This window comes from Homo sapiens, chromosome 9, assembly GCF_000001405.40.
Source record: "Homo sapiens chromosome 9, GRCh38.p14 Primary Assembly".
Taxonomy (NCBI): domain Eukaryota; kingdom Metazoa; phylum Chordata; class Mammalia; order Primates; family Hominidae; genus Homo; species Homo sapiens.
The window spans coordinates 98135656-98156503 of record NC_000009.12 but is presented as its reverse complement, the minus strand read 5'-3'; the positions used below and the strand labels follow the sequence as shown (position 1 = coordinate 98156503).

Genomic DNA, 20848 nt, shown 5'->3' with positions numbered 1-20848 from the left:
ATGGAAATTTAAAAATCCTTGGAATTGATAAAATGAAATATATCACAAAACTTACGAGATGTAGGGAAAGTGGGGCTTCAAGGGAAATCTATAGCACTAATGCTTATATTAGAAAAGAAGGAAGCCTAAAAATTAATGATTAAACATTCCATCTAAGAAGTTAGAGCCGGGTACAGTGGCTCACACCTGTAATCCCAGCACTTTGGAAGGCCAAGGCCAGAGGATTACTTAAGCCCAAGAGTTTGAGACCAGCCTGGGCAACATGGTGAAACCCCATCTGTACAAAAAATACAAAAATTAACTGGGCATGAGGGCATTTGCCTGTGGTCCTAGCTACTTAGGAGGCTGAGGTCAGATTACCTGAGCCCAGGGAAGTTGTGAGCCATGCTTTCAACACTGTACTCCAGCCTGGGCAACAGAGTGAGACCCTGTCTCAAAAAAAAAAAAAAAAAAATTCAAACAAAGAGCAGCAGAATAAACCCAAAGAAAGTTTGAGGAAGGAGATAATAAAAAGCAAAAATCAATGAAAGAGAATATAAGGATACATTAGAGAAGATAAAAGGGCCAAAAGTTTGTTTTTAGAAAAGGGTGATAGACAAGCCCCTGCAGAGACTGGCCAACAATAAAAGAGAAAGGGTACAAAAAGCATCAGGAATGAGAAAAACAATATCACAGCAGAGCTTTGAAATCTAATAAGAACTAATACAAGCAACTGTATGCCAATAAATTTGAGAACATTAACAATATGGGCAAACTCCTTAAAAAATATAACTTGTCAATACTGATTTATGTAGAAATAGAAAGCCTGAATAGTTCTTTAAAGGAATAGTCCTTTATGTACTTTAAAAATTGAACAATAGGCCAGGCGTGGTGGCTCATGCCTTTAATCCCAGCACATTGGGAGGCTGAGGTGGGTGGATCATGAGGTCAGGAGTTCGAGACCAGCCTAACCAACATGGTGAAACCCCGTCTCTACTAAAAATACAAAAATTAGCCAGGCACAGTGGCGGGCACCTGTAATCCCAGCTACTCGGGAGGCTGAGGCAGGAGAATTGCTTGAACGCAGGAGGCAGAGGTTGCAGTGAGCTGAGATCATGCCACTGCACTCTAGCCTGGGTGACAGAGCCAGACTCCATCTCAAAAAAAAAAAAAAAAAAAAAATTGAGCAATAAAAATTTCCCTTAAAGAAAATAGCAAAAGGAAAGGCGAGCTATAGAGTGGAAAAGGATATAATAAACATGACAAAAGACTCATTTCTTGAATGTATAAAATGTACCGAAAAATCCACAAAACACTGAACCAGCACTTCATAGCAAAGAAAATCCAAATGGCTAATAAGCATTTGAAAAACTACTCAACCTCATTAGTAAACCAGTGCAATACCACTACACATCAGATTGTCAAAAATGTCTAACACTAGTAAATGACAGCAAGTATACAGAGTTGTGTAAACGATCAGACACTTCTGATGGGAGTGTAAACTGGCACACCTGTTTTGGAAAGAAGAAGAAAATGCATATACCTGTGACCCAGAAATACCAACCATAGGTTTATACCACGCAGTGTTCACCACTGGTGCTCTGTCCACCAGAACAGAAGCATAAGAATGTGCATAGTAGCATTGTTTGTATTATTGCAAAACTGGGAAAACCTGTATGTCCAAGAACTTCATAAATAAATTATGGCATATCCATACAAGTGAATGTACAAAACCACAAAAAGGAATAAAGTGTAGTTATATACAACAACATGGTTGAGTCAGAAAGATAAAGTTGAGTGAAATAAGCCAAACAAATTTTAAACTATATCATTTAATTAACCTTAAATTAAAAACAGCCTACACTAAACCATACTTTAACAGTTGCATAATTACATAGTGAAATTTTAAAGAAAAACAAAGAAGAGACTACCATGAAAAACAGAATAGCAGTTACCCCTGGGGGATGGAGAGGGTTACGACTGGAAAGCATCTCGTGGGAGACCTCCTATGTGCTAGTAATGGTTCATGTCTTGGCTTGGGAGGGTAGCAATTATGGGTAATTTATTTTCCAGTAATTTGTTAAGCTGATAATTTTCATTCTTTACACTTTTTGCATGTTTCTTATATTTTACATACATATATTTAAAATATATATATATATGTATTTGTGTATATATATATATATATATATATACACACAAACACATAAGAAAGACTCTAGGCCTAGATGGTTTTACAGGTAAATCCTACAAAACTTTCAAGGAACAGATTCTAATCTTTTACAAACATTTCCACAAATAAAAAAGATGAACAACTTCTTTCCTCATTCTGTGAGGCCACTGTAACCTTGATACCAAAACCAGACAAGGAGGACAGAATAAGAAAGAAAAAAATATTGATCAATCTCACTCATGAAGATGGATGCCAAATTACTAGCAAATTACAGTAAATAAAAGATACATTCTGACCAAGTTGGATTTATTCCAGAAACTAAAGGTGATTTAATATTAGTAAATCTATAAAGATAAATCATCATATTAGCAAGTGAAAGAGGAAAAACCATATGATCATGTCCATAGATGGAGAAAAAGTGTTTGATAAAGCCCAATACCCAGCCATGAGAAAAACTCAGCAGCAACAAAAAGAAAATTAGCAAATGAAGGATAAGGGAGAATTTCACTGACCTATAGTAAACAGCATTTTAAAACCTTTTTATCTTGAAGCAATTTCAAGCCTACAGAAGATTTGCAAATAAAACTGAACTAATTCCTGATTAACCTTCACCTGGTTTACCGGTTTTAACATTTTGCCTCTCGGGGTGTGTGTGTGAGTGTGTGTGTGTGTGTGTGTGTGTGTGTGTGTGTGTGTGTGTGTTTGGAAACAGAGAAGTTACAGACATATAGCCTGGGCAGTATAGCAAGACCCCATCTCTTAAAAAATTGCTTTTTAGTTAGCTGGGCACAGTGGTACACACCTGTAGTCCCAGCTATACGAGAGGCTGAAGCAGGAGAATTGCTTGAGGCCACGAATTTGAGGTTGCAGTAGCTATGAAAGCACCACTGCACTCCAGCCTGGGTGACAGAATAAGACCCCATCTCTTAAAAAAAAAAAAAAAAAGTTATCAGCCGGATGCGCTGGCTTACGCCTGTAATCCCAGCACCTTGGCAGGCCCAGACGGGCAGATCACTTGAAGTCAGGAGTTCGACATCAGCCTGGCCAACATGGTGAAACTCCGTCTCTACTAAAAACACAAAAAATTAGCCAGGTGTGGTAGCGGGTGCCTGTAATCCCAGCTACTCAGGAGTCTGAGGCAGGAGAATCACTTGAACCCGGGAGGCAGGGGTTGCAATGAGCTGAGATCGTGCCACTGCACTCCAGCCTGGGTGACAGAGCAAAACTCCGTCTCAAAATAACAAAAAAAGAGAAAAAGTTATAGAGATGACCCTTTACCCCCAAATACTGTACTTCGGTCTGTATCTTCTAAGAACGAGAATATTCTCTTATATAACCACATCCTAGAAATTTAACATTGATTCAATGCTAATTATAATATACAACCCAAATTCAAATTACATCAGTTGTCCCAATGATGACCTTTATAATAGCTTTTTTTTCTGATCTAGAATCCAATTCAGGACCACACATTAGTTGTCATCTCTTAGTCTTCATCACTTCATGATATTAACATTTTTCAGGAGTAAAGGTCAGTTGTTCAGTAGAATGTTTCTAAATTTGGACTTACCAAATTGTTTCCTCATTATTAGAATCATTTATGTATTTTTGGCAAGAATATTGCATGAGTGGTGGTATATCATTTTTAGGTCATTACATCATGGGACACATGATGTCAGTTTGTCACATTATTCATGCTATTAACTTGACTTATTTGTTAAATAGTGCAAATATCATTCATAAAGGGGAAATGTTAGAAGCATCTACAGGCCAGGCAGGGTGGCTCACACCTATGGGCCCAGCACTTTGAGAGGCCAAGATGGGTGGATCTCTTGAGCCCAGGAGTTCGAGACCAGCAACATAGAGAAACCCCATCTCTACAAAAAATGCAAAAATTAACCAGGCATAGTGGAGCATGCCTGTAGTCCCAGCTACTCAGAAGGCTGAGGCAGGAGGCTGCCTTGAGCCCAGGAGTTCAAGGCTGCTATGAGCCATGAACGTGCCACTGCACTCCAGCCTAGGTGACAAAGCGACACCCTGTCTCAAAATAAATAAAATAAAATAAAATCAGGAATAAGATAAAAGGTCATGGCCTGCACAGTAAGACTAGAAAAATGTAACTTGTCAATACCAATTCAAGTAGAAACAGAAAGCCTGAATAGTCCTCTAACTACTAAACATTGAGCAATAAAAATGTCCCTTAAAGAAAAAACAAAAAAAAAAAACAGCAAAAGAGGCCGGGTGCAGTGGCTCATGCCTGTAATCTCAGCACTTTGGGAGGCCAAGGCAGGTGGATCATCTGAGGTCAGGAGTTTGAGAGCAGCCTGGCCAACATGGTGAAACCCCATCTCTACTAAAAATACAAAAATTAGCCGGGCATGGTGGCGTGCGCCTGTGGTCCCAGCTACATGGGAGGCTGAGGCAGGAGAATGGCGTGAACCCGGGAGGCAGAGCTTGCAGTGAGTCGAGATCGCGCCACTGTACTCCAGCCTGGGCGACAGAGCGAAACTCCGTCTCAAAAAAAAAAAAAAAAAAAATTAGCCGGGCATGGTGGTGCATGCCTGTAACCCCAGAGGCAGGAGAATTGCTTGGACCCAGGAGGCGGAGGTTGCAGTGAGCCGAGATGGCGCCATTGCACTCCAGCCTGGGTGACAGAGCAAAATTCCGTCTCAAAAAAAGAAAAATAGCGAAAGAAAAGTTGAAAGTGTTAGGATGGAAAAGGAAGAAATAAAACTGCTATTATTTACATATATAATTGTCTACATAGAACCCAAAAGAACATGTAGTCAAATTATTAGAAAAATAAGAGTATTTGGAAGGTAGTGGATACAAGAATCAGAACACAAAAATGAATTGCATTTGTACATACTGGGAATATTTAGATGATATAATTAAACATTTGCAATAGAATAAAAGAAGATTGGATACCTAGGAATAAACAAGCAACGCTTAGAAGGAAAATGATAGAACATTGTTAAAAGACTAATAAAGATGACCTCAATAGATGGAAATATTTACTATATTCATGGATAGACACTTTTACTTCCTCCCTCAAATTCCCACAGCATTCTCTTTTTTTAGGACATATTCCAAGCCTATTTTTTCCTTAGAACCATGCCCTGACTACTTTGAATTAGAGTCCTTTGTGCTTTTCTGCTAGTACCTCCTAATGTAGTTGGGTGCATAATTGTTGCTCATAAATTTTCATTAACTCCACAAATTATCTCATGGTTGTTCATCCAAATAAATAGGGAGGGTATAAATGGCAAAGGGAAGGGCACAAGCAAAGGCATGGAGGTGCAACTGTATATAGAATGTTCAGGAAGCAATGCAGAGAGCAGCTGTCTGGCCAGAACAAATAATCTGTGAAGGAGAAGAAGGGAAGTACCCTAAGGAAGTGGACTGGGGCTAGCTGAGCAGAGCCTTGAATGCTGGGGTGAGGCATGTGACCTGTATCCTAAAGAGAGAGAGAATGTTTCGAGCTAGGGAGGGACAAGTGCAAAATGGAATTTGTAGAAAGACATAAAAAGGTCAAAATGGGAAGGACCCCCTATAGATGGCCGATTTTGCTACTTGTTTCTTCCAAGCTTTGCATGCTTGTAAAAGATTACGTCCACCAAACAAACTGCATTCTTAATTAATTCAATAATTAGTTGGTTTTCCTTTTATTACTCAAACTCTCAGAACTGTCACTGTTTCTAACTTGCATGAACTGCTCGGTGTAAATGGGTACTAACAACTGATATAAAGAAAATAAATTGGTGTGATGTGATAGAGTGTGACGTGGGTTGGGAGAGGGGACCTAGTTTAGGCAGGATGGTCTGGGAAGGCATTCCTGGGAAGGTGATCTTTGAGCCGAGAGCCACTTGAGGCTCTAAAGGGAGAGTATGCTGGCAGAACAAATAGAACATGCAAACATTCCCCTGAGTGGGAATGGGTTTGGTGTGTCTGTGCATTGTCAGCACGTGGACACATGTGCTGTGACCACAGAGTGGTGGGAGGAGGTGAGGTCAGATTGGGGAGTAGGGCCTGGACTGTGAAGGCGTCGTAAGCCCAGGCAGGAGTCTGGGCTCTATCCTGAGTCCAGTGGGAAGCCACTGGAGGGTTGAAACTCACTTGTCAGCCAGGCGCTGTGGCTAACACCTGCAATCTCAGCACTTTGGGAAGCCGAGGCAGGCAGATCACGAGGTCAGGAGTTTGAGACCAGCCTGGCCAACATGGTGAAACCCTGTCTCTACTAAAAATATGAAAAATTAGTTGGGCGTGGTGGCAGCCACCTGTAACCCCAACTATTCGGGAGGCTGAGGCAGGAGAACTGCTTGAACCCAGGAGGTGGAGGTTGCAGTGAGTCAAGATCGCGCCACTGCACTCCATCCAGCCCAGGCAACAGTGCGAGACTCTCTCAAAAAAAAAAAAGAAAGAGAAAAAGAAACTCACTTGTCCTACACAGCCTGATCCTAGATAAAATGTGTGATTCTCTTTGGGCTTTTTGAAATATAATAAATAGCTCAAAGATACATGTTAATTGCTATCATCACAGACTCCTAGGAATCCAGATCCAACAGGAGCTGTGATACAGTTTGGATGCTTGTCCCCTCCAATTTTCATGTGGAAATGTGATCCCCAGTGTTGGAGGTGGGGCCTCATGGGAGGTGTTTGGGTCATGGGGGCAGCTCATGAATGGCTTGATGCCCTCCCTGTGATAATGAGTTCACCTGAGATCTGATTGTTGAAAACAGTCTGGGACACCTCCCCGTGGCCTGCGGCACACCTGATCCCCCCTTCACTGTCTGCATGATTGGAAGCTCCCCTGCAGTCCTTACCAGAAGCAGATGCTGGTGCCAGGCTTCTTTTGCCTCCTGCAGAACTGTGAGCCAAACAAACGTCTTTTCTTTGTAAATACTCAGCCTCACATATTCCTATATAGCAATGCAAAATGGACTAACACACCCAGGAGCCACTAATCAGAGCTTCTCATACTTTAGTGTTACAACACAGATTCTGATGTAGTGGGTCTGAAGTGGGGCCAGGGAATCTGCATCTCCAACAAGCTCCCAGAGATGCCTGATAAAATACAGGATGCCCAGTTTAATTTGACTTTCAGATAAACAACAAATCGTTATTTTTGCTTTTTTCTTTTTAATTAAAAGTTTTATTTTGACATCATAGTAGATTCACAAGCAGTTATAAGAAATAGTACAGTGCAATTCTGTGTATCCTTTACCCTGTTTCTTCCAGTGGTAACATCTTATAAGACTACAGTACGCAGTACAGCATACTGTTGTGATACTGGCATCACTACAGTCAAGATACAGAACATTCCATCATCACAAAGATCTGTTCCCCTCCACCCCCATTCCCTCCTTAACCCCAGATGACAATTAACCTGCTCTCCATTTCTATACTTTTCCCGTTTTAGGAATGTTACATAAATGGAATCATACAATATGTAACCTTTTCAGCTTGGCTTTTTTTACTCACTGTATTTCTCTCGCAGTTCAGCTGGGTTGTTGCATATATTGAGTATTGATCATTTTTTTTTGTGTTTTGTGTGTGTGTGTTTTGTTTTTTTTGTTTGTTTGTTTTGTTTTGTTTTGTTTGAGACAAGCTCTGGCTCTTTCACCCAGGCTGGAATGCAGTGGCATGATCATATCTCACTGCAGCCCTGAAGCCTCCACTTCCTGGGCTCAAGCAATCCTCTTACGGCAGCCTCCTGAATAGCTGGGACTACAGGTGCATGCCATCACACCCAGCTAATTTTTGTATATTTTTTATGTAGAGGTGAGGTTTTGCTATGTTGCTCAGGTTGGTCTTGAACCCCTGGGCTTAAGTGATCCACCCACCCCAAACTTCTGGAATTACAGGTATGAGCCACTGCACCTGGCCTCAATTATGTGTTCCTTCTTTCTTTTTTTAAATTTTTATTTATTTATTTATCTTATTTTTTTTTTTTTTTTGAGATGGAGTCTCGCTCTGTCGCCCAGGCTGGAGTGCAATGGCATGATATTGGCTCACTGAAGCCTCCGCCTCCTGGGTTCAAGCAACTCTCCTGCCTCAGCCTCCCAAGTAACTGGGACTACAGGCACATGCCACCACACCTGGCTAGTTTTTATATTTTCAGTAGAGATGGGGTTTTGCTATGTTGGCCAGGCTGGTCTCAAACTCCTGACCTCAGTTAATCTGCCTGCCTCAGCCTCCCAAAGAGCTGGGATTACAGACATGAACCACCTTGCCTGGCCTCTTTTTTTTTTTTTCTTTTTTTTTTTTAATAGAGGCGAGGTCTCATGATGTTGCCCAGGCTGGTCTCAAACTCCTGAGCTCAAGTGATCCTCTTGCCTCAGCCTCCCAAAGTGCCAGGATTACAGGCATGAGCCACCACTCCTGCCTCTGTGTCCTTTCTTACTGCTGAATAGTATTCTATGGTATGGATGCACTACAGTTTATATAACCATTCACTCACTGAAAGCCAGTGGGTTGTTTCGAGTTTGGGGCTATTACAGATTAAGCTGTTACAAACATTTGTGTACATATTTTTGGGTGAATATAAGTAAGTCTCCATTTCTCTGGCATAAAGGGCCAGGAGTGCGGTTGCTGAGTCATAAGGTAGTTGCATGTTTAGCCTTATAAGAAACTGTCAATTTATTTTTACAAATTTTTAGTGTAAGTAAAATATTGCATGGAACCTCCTTATGCTAAAATATTTGTTGTTTATCTGCAATTTGAATTTTACTGGGCATCCTGTGTTTTACTTGCTAAATCTGACTTCCCTCCTCCCAGGTGATACCGATCTACTTGTTTGCCAATTGCATTTTCAATAGCAAGGCTCTAATCTAGCTCAGGTTCATAATTATGGAAAAATCTCAAGCACAAAAGTAGATAAAAATAATATGATGAACTTTCCTCAGCCCAGATTCTAGAATTATCAAGTTTGCCCTCTTGCTTCACTCATCCCTTTTACCTGAAGTATTTTAAAGCAAATCCTAGACATTTTGTCATTTCAACCTCTGCCCCCCGCCCCCTACCACATGTCAGTATGCAATTCTAAAACCAGGGACATTTTCTGACATAACCATAATGCCAGGATCACATTAATAATAACTCTTGTGTCACCTGATTCCTAATTCATGTTAATGGTCCCTGGTTGCCTCATACATGCCACTTTGCTTGTGGTTTGTTTGCCTCAAAGTCCAGATGGGGTCCACATCTTGCATTTGATTGATGTTTCTTTTTAATTTTTTCTTATTGTAAGTAGAGATGGGGTCTCACTATGTTGCCCAGGCTGGTCTCAAACTCTTGGGCTCAAGGGATCCTCCTGCCTCAGCCCCCCAAAGTGCTGGGATAACAGGCATGAGCCACCACACCTGGCCAATATGTTTCTTATTAAGTAACCACATCCATTACTACTGTGCAGGCACCATGCCATAGCACTTACCTGCACAGACAGGCCTTAGAGGCTCTTTATTATGTTGTAACCAGGGTTGGAGTGATTATGCTGATACCTTATGAACATTAGCCCCATTTATAGGGGATCTTGCCCCATTGCACAGATGAGGTCGCTGAGGCTCAGGAAGATGACTTCCCAGAGGACCCTGTGCAGTGTGTCCAGGACCCGAATGGGAGCCCAGACCTGGGTGTGGCCTCGGGCCTTGCTCTCACTTCACTGACATGAGGCCCCTGAGGTTTGGCACTGATTTGCATCAGCTCCTACTTGTTACCAGGATTACGTTCTGTGCCAGGCACAGAGATGTATCAGTAGGTGAGTGATGTGAGAACAAGGAAGGGACAAGCTAGCTAATGATTTAATTAAGTACATAAATTGCATTGAGATTGGGAGATGTCTGGCCTTGCCACAGCGTGCAGGAAGTCCTTCTCAGAGGGGCCGGGCTGCCCCAGGCAGTTTCAGATGTCCCAAAGGGAGTGACACTGCAGGCAGGGTCCCTCCCTCTTGCCTGTTGTGACCCAGGGTGAGCTGGTTAGAGGGAGGCTGGAGGTGAGTTTCGCAACCTGCAGCCTTGGCAACCAGGGACTGTACTCAGGGAACAAAGGCAGCAGGGGAAGGCTGGGGAGAGGCCAGGACTGTGCTCCTGAGCCTGGGGCCCAGCCTGCCACAGAGTCACTCCAGGGAGGGGGTGAAGAAGGTGGACTTTGCTGTGAGGTGTGGAGGGTGGGGAGGAATGAAAGCAAGGGCAGGCAGAGCCCCTGGGGGTCAGCCCTGGAACCCTGCTGGGAGTAGACAGGCCAGAGGGGACATGGGCCTGAGGGCCTAATGGACACCGTGGCTTTCAGGTGCCTGGGAGAGTGGAGAGGAGCATTTCACTGCCATGATCTTAAAGGCCAGCCTTAGCCAGCATGGTGGCTCACACCTGTAATCCTGGCACTTTGGGAGGCCAAGGCAGGAGATCACTTGAGGTCAGGCATTCGAGACTAGCCTGGCCAACATACCAAAACCCTGTCTCTACCAAAAATAAAAAATCAGCTGGGCGTGGTGGCACATGCCTGTAGTCCCAGCTACTTGGGAGGCTGAGGCAGGAGAATCACTTGAACCCGGGAGACAGAGGTTGCAGTAAACCAAGATCGCACCATTGCACTCCAGCCTGGGCGACAGAGCAATACTCTGTCTCAAAAAACAAACAAACAAAAAACCAAGGCCAACCTGACCCTTCTCAAGCCGATGTGTGTCCACATCACTCCGCTGCTCAGATGCCTCCCAGGACTCCTTGCTGCCTGCAGATAATGTTCTGCCTCTCTCATCAAAGCCCTCTATGCCCTGTCCTAGCCAACTGTTTGGAACCTCAGAGCCTTCCATAGCACATATCTGTTCCCTCCATACAAATTGCCCTTCTAGAAAGGCAGGGTATGGGCTAGTCTGGCATTTTGGAAGTCTCTTCCAGTTCTAGGGGTTTGTTCATCCTGGACAAGAACATACTCAAGGAATGGGTCCTCTGTCTTCAAATATCCAAGGAGTTGGCCTGCCACAGAGGGCCCAGATGTGTCTATAGGTCCCCAAAGGACAACGCCAGGACCAGAAGTGGGAAGTGAGGGGAAGCAGGGGCCACCTGGAGGCCACACTGGGCTCGAAGTAGGAAACATTTTCTCCAAATTCACAAGGTCTGAAAGTAGGATGAATTACCTCAGGAGGAAGTGAGCTCCCTGTCCCCACAGGTGACCAAGTGGGGACACCAGCTGTGGTTCACCGCTTTCATCCCTGGATGTTGGATTCTACAGTAAACCCTCCAAAGGCTCATCTGGGTGCTCATAAGGAGAGGGGTGATGAAGGATGCTCTGCCCTAAATCATGGGAATGTGCTGTGCATTTTAGAAGTGCTGCCATTCCTAGGGTCAAGAAATGCTCCTCTCATCTCTCCCTCTGCTCAATCCCAGCCTCCTCTGGGCGGTCCCTGGTCCCACATCTCACCCTCTCCAGTCAGGACATGGCTCACCTATCCATTTGTCCACCTCTCTATTGGGTCCAGCCTTGCACCCTGGGCAGGGTGAGTAGACTCCATGCCCTCAGCCTCACCCCTCTTGCTCAGCCTCCTCTCTTGCCCTGTCCTCCAGCCTACCGTGCCCGCTGGCTGCTTCAGCCTCCTCCCACTTAAAACCTACCTGTGGCCCTGCCTTTCTGACTTGAGATTCCTCCCCTCCACCTGACCTGGTCAAAGTCTCCCTCTCTTTAAGGCCCAATTTAAAGTCCTCCTCCTCCAGGGAGCCTTCTCTGGTTCATCCCCCAGGTCTCTTGTGTGCCTCTCCTCTGAGCTCAAAGTATATTCCTTCCTGCCTCCTCCATAAGGTAGATGGCTCCTATAGCCCAGGATTGTGAGTACCGCATCTCTGCCATCACCTGCATGCAGTCTGGCACATAGTATGTCCTCAGTGAAAGGCCTGTATGATGATGATGATAACCATGGTGTGAGGACAGCAAGAGCAGACCAGGCCATAAGAGGAAACATTCCCAATCCTGGCTCTGCTGTCCTTAGTACATGATTGTCAACCTCTCTGAGCCCCAGCCTCTGCACTTGTAAATGGGGAATTCTTGTACTATGTCCTGGGGTGGTTGGGAGGTAAATCAAATATTATGAGCAACGCAGCTGGCACTGGGCCTGGCACATATATGACTCCCTAGATTATGGTTTCTAAAGAAAAGCTTTTTTTTTTTTTTTCTTCGAAACAGGATCTCACTCTGTTGCCCAGGCTGGAGTGTAGTGGCACGATCATGGCTCACTGTAGGCTGGACCTCCCAGGCTCAAGTGATCCTCCTGCCTCAGCCTCCCGAGTAGCTGGGACCACAGGTGTGCATCCCTACACCGGACTAATTTTTGTAGAGATGGGGCCTGTTGCCCAGGCTGCTCTTGAACTCCTGGCCTTAAGTAATCTGCCTTGGACTTCCAAAGTGCTGGAATTACAGACATGAGCCACTGTGCCCAGCCAAGAAGCATTTAAAAACCTATTTCTTATAGACATGGGAACATGTCTGATCCAGCTGCCTGCATTCACCAGTAGGAAAACAATCAAGCCACTAGTTCATTCATGGAGGGCATGCCTGGAGCCACTGCTATGTAGGAAAGGATGGGAGTCCCCATGCAGAACAGTTTGTCCCCTGCCCAGTGAGTATATCCCCTGGCCCCTGAAACATACTGAGCAACAATAAAACTGGGTAATGGTAATGAGCTGTGATGAGCTTCTCCTGGCTAATGTACTGAGTACTTAGCAAGTACTGGGCACCGTCTTCAGTGCTTTACTGTGAATGAGGTGCTACTACTGTTGTCATTTCGTAGATAAGGAAACTGAGGCATAGAGAACTGAGGTCACTTGCCCAAGGCTGCACCATGGTAAGGGATGTGGCAGGGATTCCACCCCTGGAAGCCAGAGTCTGCCTGCCCACTTCACCTCTGCTACACTGTGTGTCCTCCCTCTGCCCGTCCTGCCACCCCTGCCTCCCAGTCTCCACCCTGAGCTGTTGGGATGCTCATTTGAGGCCATGACTATGATGCTGTTGTAGGAACAGCTGCTCCCTTGACTGCTGAGGGTCGTGACAGTGGCCTCACAACCTCTCCCTTTCTGGCAATGGAGGTCAGCCGTAGAGAGTCCCCAGTCTGGTCCCCCACCCGCCTGACTCCTCCTGGGTCCTTCTGTCCTGTCTTCCCCCTCTGCCCCAGGGCAGCCCCTTGGAGACTTGGAGGTGATGCCTCTCCAGGCAGGGCGGCCCAAGCCAGGGTTCTGTGGGGTCTGCGAGGGGAGCAGGCGTGTCTCCCCTGATTTAGAGCTTGTACACCACATCCATCAGAAGCCTGTTTCTGGCTGAGTGCTGGCCTAATGGGCAGAAGGTGGAAATGGCCTCCTGATGATAAATGTCCCTGACAGGCTTTTAGCAGCTCAGTCAATAGCCCACCAGGCTGGCTAATGTCCGCTCCTGCCTGTGGTCCTCAGCGTAAAACCTTTTAGAAGCAGAGCAATCTGCCAGCCCAGGGCAGGGCAGCGCAGGGCAGCGCAGGGCAGCGCAGGGCAGGGCAGGGCAGGGGAGGTGGGGCGGAGGGGAGGGCTGGGGTGGGCTGGGGTGTGAGTGGGCAGCCTTCCCTCATCAGCTGAGAAGGAAGAGAAGGCTGAGAAGGAAGAGAAGCTGTCTAGGGCTAGGCCCTTCTGAGCCACGCCCAACCCTAAGGCGCCTTCCCTGAGTCTGTGGGAGGTGGGAGGTGTGTGTCTGAATGGGGCTCCTGGGCACTTTGCCTCCCGTCAGCCCGAGGGCAGCCTGACTATTGGCTCATCTGGCTTTTCTTGGGAAACCGCACTGCGGAAATTGGGGCATGGCCCTGGGCCAGAGTCTAAAGGCCCGGAGAGCAATCAGTGCCCCACAGCCAAAGACACAGTACTGCTCATGGCCTTTGACCCAGGAAATGATCCCAGAGAAAGGAAAGGCTGTGTGCAGGAAGGAGGCCAGGGCAGGGACTCACAGAGCACTCACTGGTGCTCCCTCAGAGCACAGGAAGTACAGCACCAGGCTCACACTTGGGGAACCAGAGGCCTGGGCTCAAGCCCAGCTCTGCCCCTCACCTTTGCAGTGACCCTGGGCAAGTCCCTACTCCATGCTGGATTTCCCCAAGTCTGAGGTCCGAGAGAGGGTGCTGGGATCCATTCGCAATGCCTGCCACAGGTGCAGGATAAGACAGTGCAGCTGTGGGCTCCATTCCTGGTCTCTAGAGCCCTTCAAGAGCTACAGTTTTATAACAGAAGTTTTTGGCTAATCCTGGATGGACCCATTTTTTCAGAAAATCTGTATTTTTGTTTTTAAACACCTTTTTTAATTGCAAAACTTACATAGCTAAAAATAAGACAAAGATATTAAAGCCAGCCATTTATTCCACCATCTAGATATAACCATGATTAACATTTTGGCTCATTCCTTTTAGTTTTTTTTTCTCAGTTTTGACATACAAATATACATACATATACATATAATAGTAGCTTCTGTTACTGAGCACTTACAGTAACACCTGACTGTTGGGCTCTTCATGCATAGTATCTCATTTAACTCTCAACAATCCTGCAAGGAAGAAATGATTATTCATTCACATTTTACAGATGAGGAAAAAGAGGCTTGCAAAATGTGAGCAGGTGCACAACATGCTCAGGTTTTAATTTTCGAAAACTCACCTTGAGGACAGTGTACAGGATGTCCTGGAGGCTAAGCAAGAGGTCATTGGCAGCTGGGCGCAGTGGCTCAAGCCTATAATCCCAGCACTTTGGAAGGCCAAGGCGGGCAGATCACCTGAGGTCAGGAGTTCAAGACCAGCCTGGCCAACATGGCAAAACCCCGTCCCTACTAAAAAATACAAAAACTAGCTGGGTGTGGTGGCACGCACCTGTAATCCCAGCTACTCAGGAGGCCGAGGCAGGGAGAATTGCTTGAACCTGGGAGGTGGAGGTTGCAGTGATCCGGGATCGCACCGCTGCACCCCAGCCTGAGCAACAAGACGAGACTCCATGTCCAAAAAAAAAAAAAAAAAAAGGGTCAGTGGTCCCATGGAGACCTGGGCCAGGGCCTGTGGGTGCAGTGTCCTTCTAAGACCCTAGCTCCAGGTACCGCCCTGCCAGGACAGGGCAGGAAGCATGCACCTCTCTCCCCTGTCCTGCTGTAGAAGAGGCAGAGACCACTTGAAAGAGAGAAAATTTTCACCTCCCTCCATGCACATCACTAACAAAGGACACAAGTCCACATTCTTTCCTTTTTTTTTGGTTCTCTTTCTCCCTCTGAATGTGTAGGTGTGTGTATAATTTTTTGTTTTCAGAACTCTTTGAGGGTAAGTTACATCCATCTTAGCCCTTCATCCCTAAATACTGTTTCCTAAAAATACAAATATTCTCTTACATTACTGCAGTACATTATCAACTTATATAAGTTTAATGTTGTGATAATACTGTAATCTACCGTTCTTGTTTAGATTTGTTAAATAATGTCCTTTATAGCGTTGTCCCCTCCAGTAGGGGATCCAGTCTAGGCGGAGGTGTCTGATCACTTTTTCCTGAGGGGAGAGACCTGGATTAGCCAGAGTATTTCCAGAGGGAGGCACAGGACCACCTCCTCTGTTTGCAGAGCTACTAAAATGCATGCATAGGCCAGGCACGGTGGCCCATGCCTGTAATCCCTAACTTTAGGAGGGCAAGTTGGGAAGATTGTTTGAGCCCAGGAGTTCAAGACCAGCCTGGGCAACATAGCAAGACCCCATCTCTACAAATAATTTTAAAAATTAGCTGAGCTTGGTGACACATGCCTGTAGTTCTTAGCCTGGAACTTGGGAGGGTGAGGTGGGAAGATTGTCTTACCCCGAGTTCGAGGCTACAGTGAATCATGATTGCACCACTGCACTCCAGCCTGGACAACAGAGTGAGACCCTGTCTCTTAAAAAAAAAAAAAACAAGTACAGTGGTCTCTACACAGATGGGGAGGTGATGGAAGAAGAGAAGGTTGGGTGTTCCCTGAGTCCACCCTGTTCTTGAAAGTCCCTCTAGAAAAAATCCCAAGACTATTGATTCTGCAAAGTCAAGGACTATGTTGAGTGTTCACCTTGCAATCAGCCCCTCCAACAGCACCTGTCCCCTGGGCACCTCGGGAATATTTGTGGGATGGATGGATGTTGGCCAGTTTTCTTCTCAGCTGTCTCTTTCACTTAGATATAAAAATGGCTGGGGGAGCATTCTGGTGGGTGGCTCAAGAACCTGGAACTAGATGGTGGATGTGGGAGGTCGAGGGCCTGGGTCCTGGTCCCTGTTCTGCCAGGGCCATGCAATGTGATGTGCAAAATGAGCAGATTGGTCACTGCCAGTCCAAGGTTCTGTGACTGAACTGGTGTGGTTTCTCTATGACCCCAAGAAATCCAAGTCTCTTGGTGGAGTTGGAAATAGCTTCAGGGCTGTGTGGCATGGGCTGGGGGACCTGTATGTCCCTCCCAGCACCTATACAGGAATTCTCATTAGGAAAGGGGAAAATGAGGGAAATGCCCTTTCTATGTAATTGAGGTAGAATTCACATACCAGAAAATTCACCGTGTTTTGTTTTTTGTTTGAGACAGGGTCCCATTCTGTTGCCCAGGCTGGAGTGCAGTGGCACAATCATAGCTGACTGCAGCCTCGACCTCCCAGGCTCAAGCAATCCTCCCACCTCAGCCTCCCAAGTAGCTGGAACTACAGGTGTGCGACACCATGCCTGGCTATTTATTTATTTATTTATTTTTGAGACGGAGTCTCACTCTATTGCCCAGGCTGGAACGCAGTGGCACAATCTCAGCTCACCGCAACCTCCACCTCCTGGGTTCGAGTGATTCTCCTGCCTCAGTCTCCCAAGTAGCTTGGATTACAGGCATGTGCCACCACGCCCGGCTAATTTTGTATTTTTAGTAGAGGTGGGGTTTCACCATATTGACCAGGCTGGTCTCAAACTCCTGACATCAGGTGATCCACCCATCTTGGCCTCCCAAAGTGCTGGGATTACAGCCGTGAGCCACCATGCCAGGCCTAATTTTTTGATTTTTTGTAGAGACGGGGTTTTGTCCTGTTGCCATGTTGGAAAATTCACCGTTTTAAGGTGTATAGTTCAGTGGATCTTAGTATATTCACAAGGTTGTGAATATACTGTGAATAAACTGTCACCACCACCTAATTTCAAAATCATTTTGTCACTCCAAAAAGACACCCCTCACTCATTAGCAGTCACCCCCTATTGCCCCTTCTCCCAAGCCTGAGGCAACCAGAATCTTGCCTTCTGTCTCCATGAATGTATCGTTCTGCATTTTTCTTTCTTTTTTTTTTTTTTTTTGAGACAGAATCTTGCTCTGTCGCCAGGCTGTAGTGCAGTGGCATGATCTTGGCTCACTGCAACCTCTGCCTCCTGGGTTCAAGCGATTCTACTGCCTCAGCCTCCCGAGTAGCTGGGACTACAGGCGTGCACCACCACGCCGGGCTAATTTTTTGTATTTTAGTAGAGACAGGGTTTCACCATGTTGGCCAGGATGGTCTCGATCTCCTGACCTCGTGATCCACCCGCCTCGGCCCCCCAAAGTGCTGGGATTACAGTCGTGAGCCACCGCGCCCAGCCCGTTCTGCATTTTTCATATGCATTACTTAGGGTTCCAGATACCAGGTACCAGGGGGATGCATTAATGTGCTCAGGCAATGAAACCACATCTGGAACATCATCTAAGTGGAATCACACAACGTGTGGCCTTTTGTGCCTGGCCTCTTCTTCTAGTGTTTTCTAGGTTAATCCATGCTGTAGCAGGGACCAGTACTTCATTCCTCTTTTTAGGGACAGTAGTATTCTGCTGCATGAATATACTGCATTTTGTATGTCCATTCTTCACTTGATGGGCATTTGGGTTGTTTCCACTTTCTGATATTATGAAGAATATTGTTGTGAACATTGGTGAACCAGTTTCTTTTTTTTTTTTTTTGAGACATAGTTTCACTCTTGTCACCCAGGCTGGAGTGCAATGGCGCAATCAGAGCTCACTGCAACCTCCACCTCCCAGGTTCAAGTGTTCTACCTCAGCCTCCTGAGTAGCTGGGATTACAGGTGCATGCTACCACGCCCGGCTAATTTTTGTATTTTTAGTAGAGACAGGGTTTCACCATGTTGGCCAGGCTGGTCTCGAACTCCTGACCTCAGGTGATCCACCCACCTTGGCCTCCCAAAGTGCTGGGATTAGGTGAAACAGTTTCTTGCGGACTTATCTTTTCATTTTCCATGGAGATAGACCTAGGAGTGGAATTGCTGGGTCATGTGGGAACCGGTTAACCTTTTGAGGAACTGCCAGACTATTTTCCAAAAGAGCTGCACCATTTTACATGCCTACCAGCAGTGTGTGAGGGGAAATGCCCTTTTATTGAACATCTGCCATGTGCTAGGCACTGTGCCATACCTCCTCTCCCATGATCCTCACACCAACCTGTGAAATACCTGTGATTGCTCCCTTTTACTGAGGAGGACACCAGAGCTCAGAGAAGTGAAGTAACTCCCCCAGGATCCCACAGGGAATAAGAAGTAAGGCCTAGATTCACACCCAGCTCTGTCCCTTATGTTTTCCTGTTGACTGGTTGCTAACTGACTATGTGACTGTCCAGATGCTAATGTGGAATCCACCTCCTCCCCAACCCTCCTGGGCACTGTCTTGCAGACAGGGAAGTTGGACCCCCACTACCCAAAAGTCTGCGGGCACAGAGGCAACGTTTTGGATGTCAAGTGGAACCCTTTTGATGATTTTGAGATCGCCTCCTGTTCTGAAGATGCCACAGTGAGTGTCAGCCCCTGAGGGGCTTCCCCTTCCTGAAGAGTGGGATTGGGGTGGTTGGGGTGGAATGGTACCTGTTCTTGGCTCTGGTGCCCCTGACTCCATCGCGGAGGTGAGGTCACTGTGTGGGGAGGTGTTAAGTTAAGGTAGAGGAGGAGACATTCTTGGTGCTGTAGGACTAGCGGCACCACCCCTCCTCTCTATGGGCCTTAGTTCCCCCCCATATAAAATGGGCATAATAGTTCCACCCAGCTAATAAAGCCCAGTGAAAATGTATATTCCGATGGGAAAACCCATCCTTCGGGGAGCTATAAAAGGCTATGAGGGGCATTTTTATGGTGATCAGAAAAGATGTTCCACTTAATCCCATAGTGAGGAAGCGAGCTATAAAAGGCTGTGAGGGCCTTGGATGAATGTGGACACTAAAACCATTCCAGCAGCTTCAGTCTCACTCACTTTTTTGAGCCCGTGTTCTGTACCAGGGTTATCATCCCTGCCCCAACAATGTTCAGTGTTACTTATTTACAATTCATTTTGTACCCACTTCTAAAATATGGTGGTATGGCTTAAGACAAGAACCACAGATATGCCAGGTTCAGTGGCTCACACCTGTAATCTCAGCACTTTGGGAGACTGAGGTGGGAGAATCACTTGAGGCCAGGAGTTGGAGACCAACCTAGGCAACATAGTGAGACCCTGTCTCTATTAAAAAATTAAAAAACACAGATATGATCAGATGATTAAAATAAAGATAAAAGTCATTGTCACCATTTATTGTGAGCCCACTGTATTCCTAACTGTCATCACACTTATCATTTCACAGTCTCCCCAGCAACCCCACAAGGTAGGATATTTTTCTGATGGAGAAGCTGAGGATCAGAGAGGTACAGCAATTTGCCTAATGTTACACAGCCTGTGGGAGGCAGAGCAAGACTTCAGACTGAGGCCTGTCTGATTCCACAGCCCATTCTCTTTCCAATGTGCTGTGACACATCTTTAAAGAGAAGCAGCCACAGATGGAGAAACTGAGGAAATACTAGAAATGATGGCTAAGAAGGGTTGCAGCAGCTAAGCTGCTAGTTTAGCTAAGAGCTACCTGGCAGCCAAGGCAAAATGGGCAACAGAATGTATTGCAAAACCTTCAGTTAGATCAAAAGAAGCAGACCAGTTCATCAGGAAAGGAAGGCAGAAAATTCAAAGAGGATTTGTGTCGGTTTCCATATAGCAGATGCTGAGGAACGTAAAGGACAGTGTCTGCCGAGGTGATTTCACCAAAGGGACAATCAGGTCCTGTGAGAATTGGCCCTGTCCCCAGGGAGTATAGGGCCTCTGGCAGGATATCAAATATCTGAAACTGTCCCCACTTTTGTGATACCTGCCTTTTCAGGACTGCTTTGAAGGCTCCCATCAAGATCTTTATAAATCTCTTGCTAGCCTCATTGCCTGCCACTGCCCCTTCCCCGATGCCCCAGGGCAGGACGTGACTGTTGGGGGACTGAAGAAGGAAGGGGCTTTCCTCCCCGAAGCTATGCCCACAGTGAATTTATGGGGTGTTCCTCCCTGCCTTCAGGGCCTGGAGGGCACGGTTGCTCCTCTAGCAGTGGGGAGTCTTCTCTGCTTCAGTGTTGCGGGTGGTACCTTCATCTTCCAAACATACCTCTTCAGAGTGTGTCTTCCTCCCGGGGTTCTATGCAGTGACAGCCCTCATCAGACCGAAGTATCTGGAGCCTGTCACTACTCTCGTGGGGTTGGCTTCCTGGTTTTAAATCCAAGATGACCAGGAAATAAATATTTGCTGAATTGAAAGCAAAGTCGTCTACCTGAAAAACCTGTATACCTCTAAGGGAAACAGTGCATACAATCAACTAGGGGCCAGAGAACCTTGCAGGACCAATAAGGAAGATCAAGTCAGCAGCATC

The 20848-nt window shown here is 46.1% G+C and overlaps 1 protein-coding gene across 3 annotated transcripts in view, besides 1 other annotated feature; it reads left to right on the top strand.

Annotated features, from left to right (window-relative positions):
* CORO2A (coronin 2A) overlaps positions 1 to 20848 on the top strand; it is a 71663-nt gene that overhangs the window by 36134 nt on the left and 14681 nt on the right. For all 3 annotated transcript variants that reach the window (NM_052820.4, XM_011518986.4, NM_003389.3), the window contains exon 3: positions 18816 to 18932. In NM_052820.4, coding sequence (NP_438171.1) covers positions 18816 to 18932 — 117 coding nt within the window. The remainder of the gene's footprint in view (positions 1 to 18815; positions 18933 to 20848) is intronic.
* Positions 14330 to 14379: an enhancer, noted in NCBI's record as "active region_28692". NCBI's record gives its function as "activates an Ori minimal core promoter by ATAC-STARR-seq in GM12878 lymphoblastoid cells {active_cell/tissue: GM12878}" and the evidence as "EXISTENCE:reporter gene assay evidence [ECO:0000049][PMID:35858748]".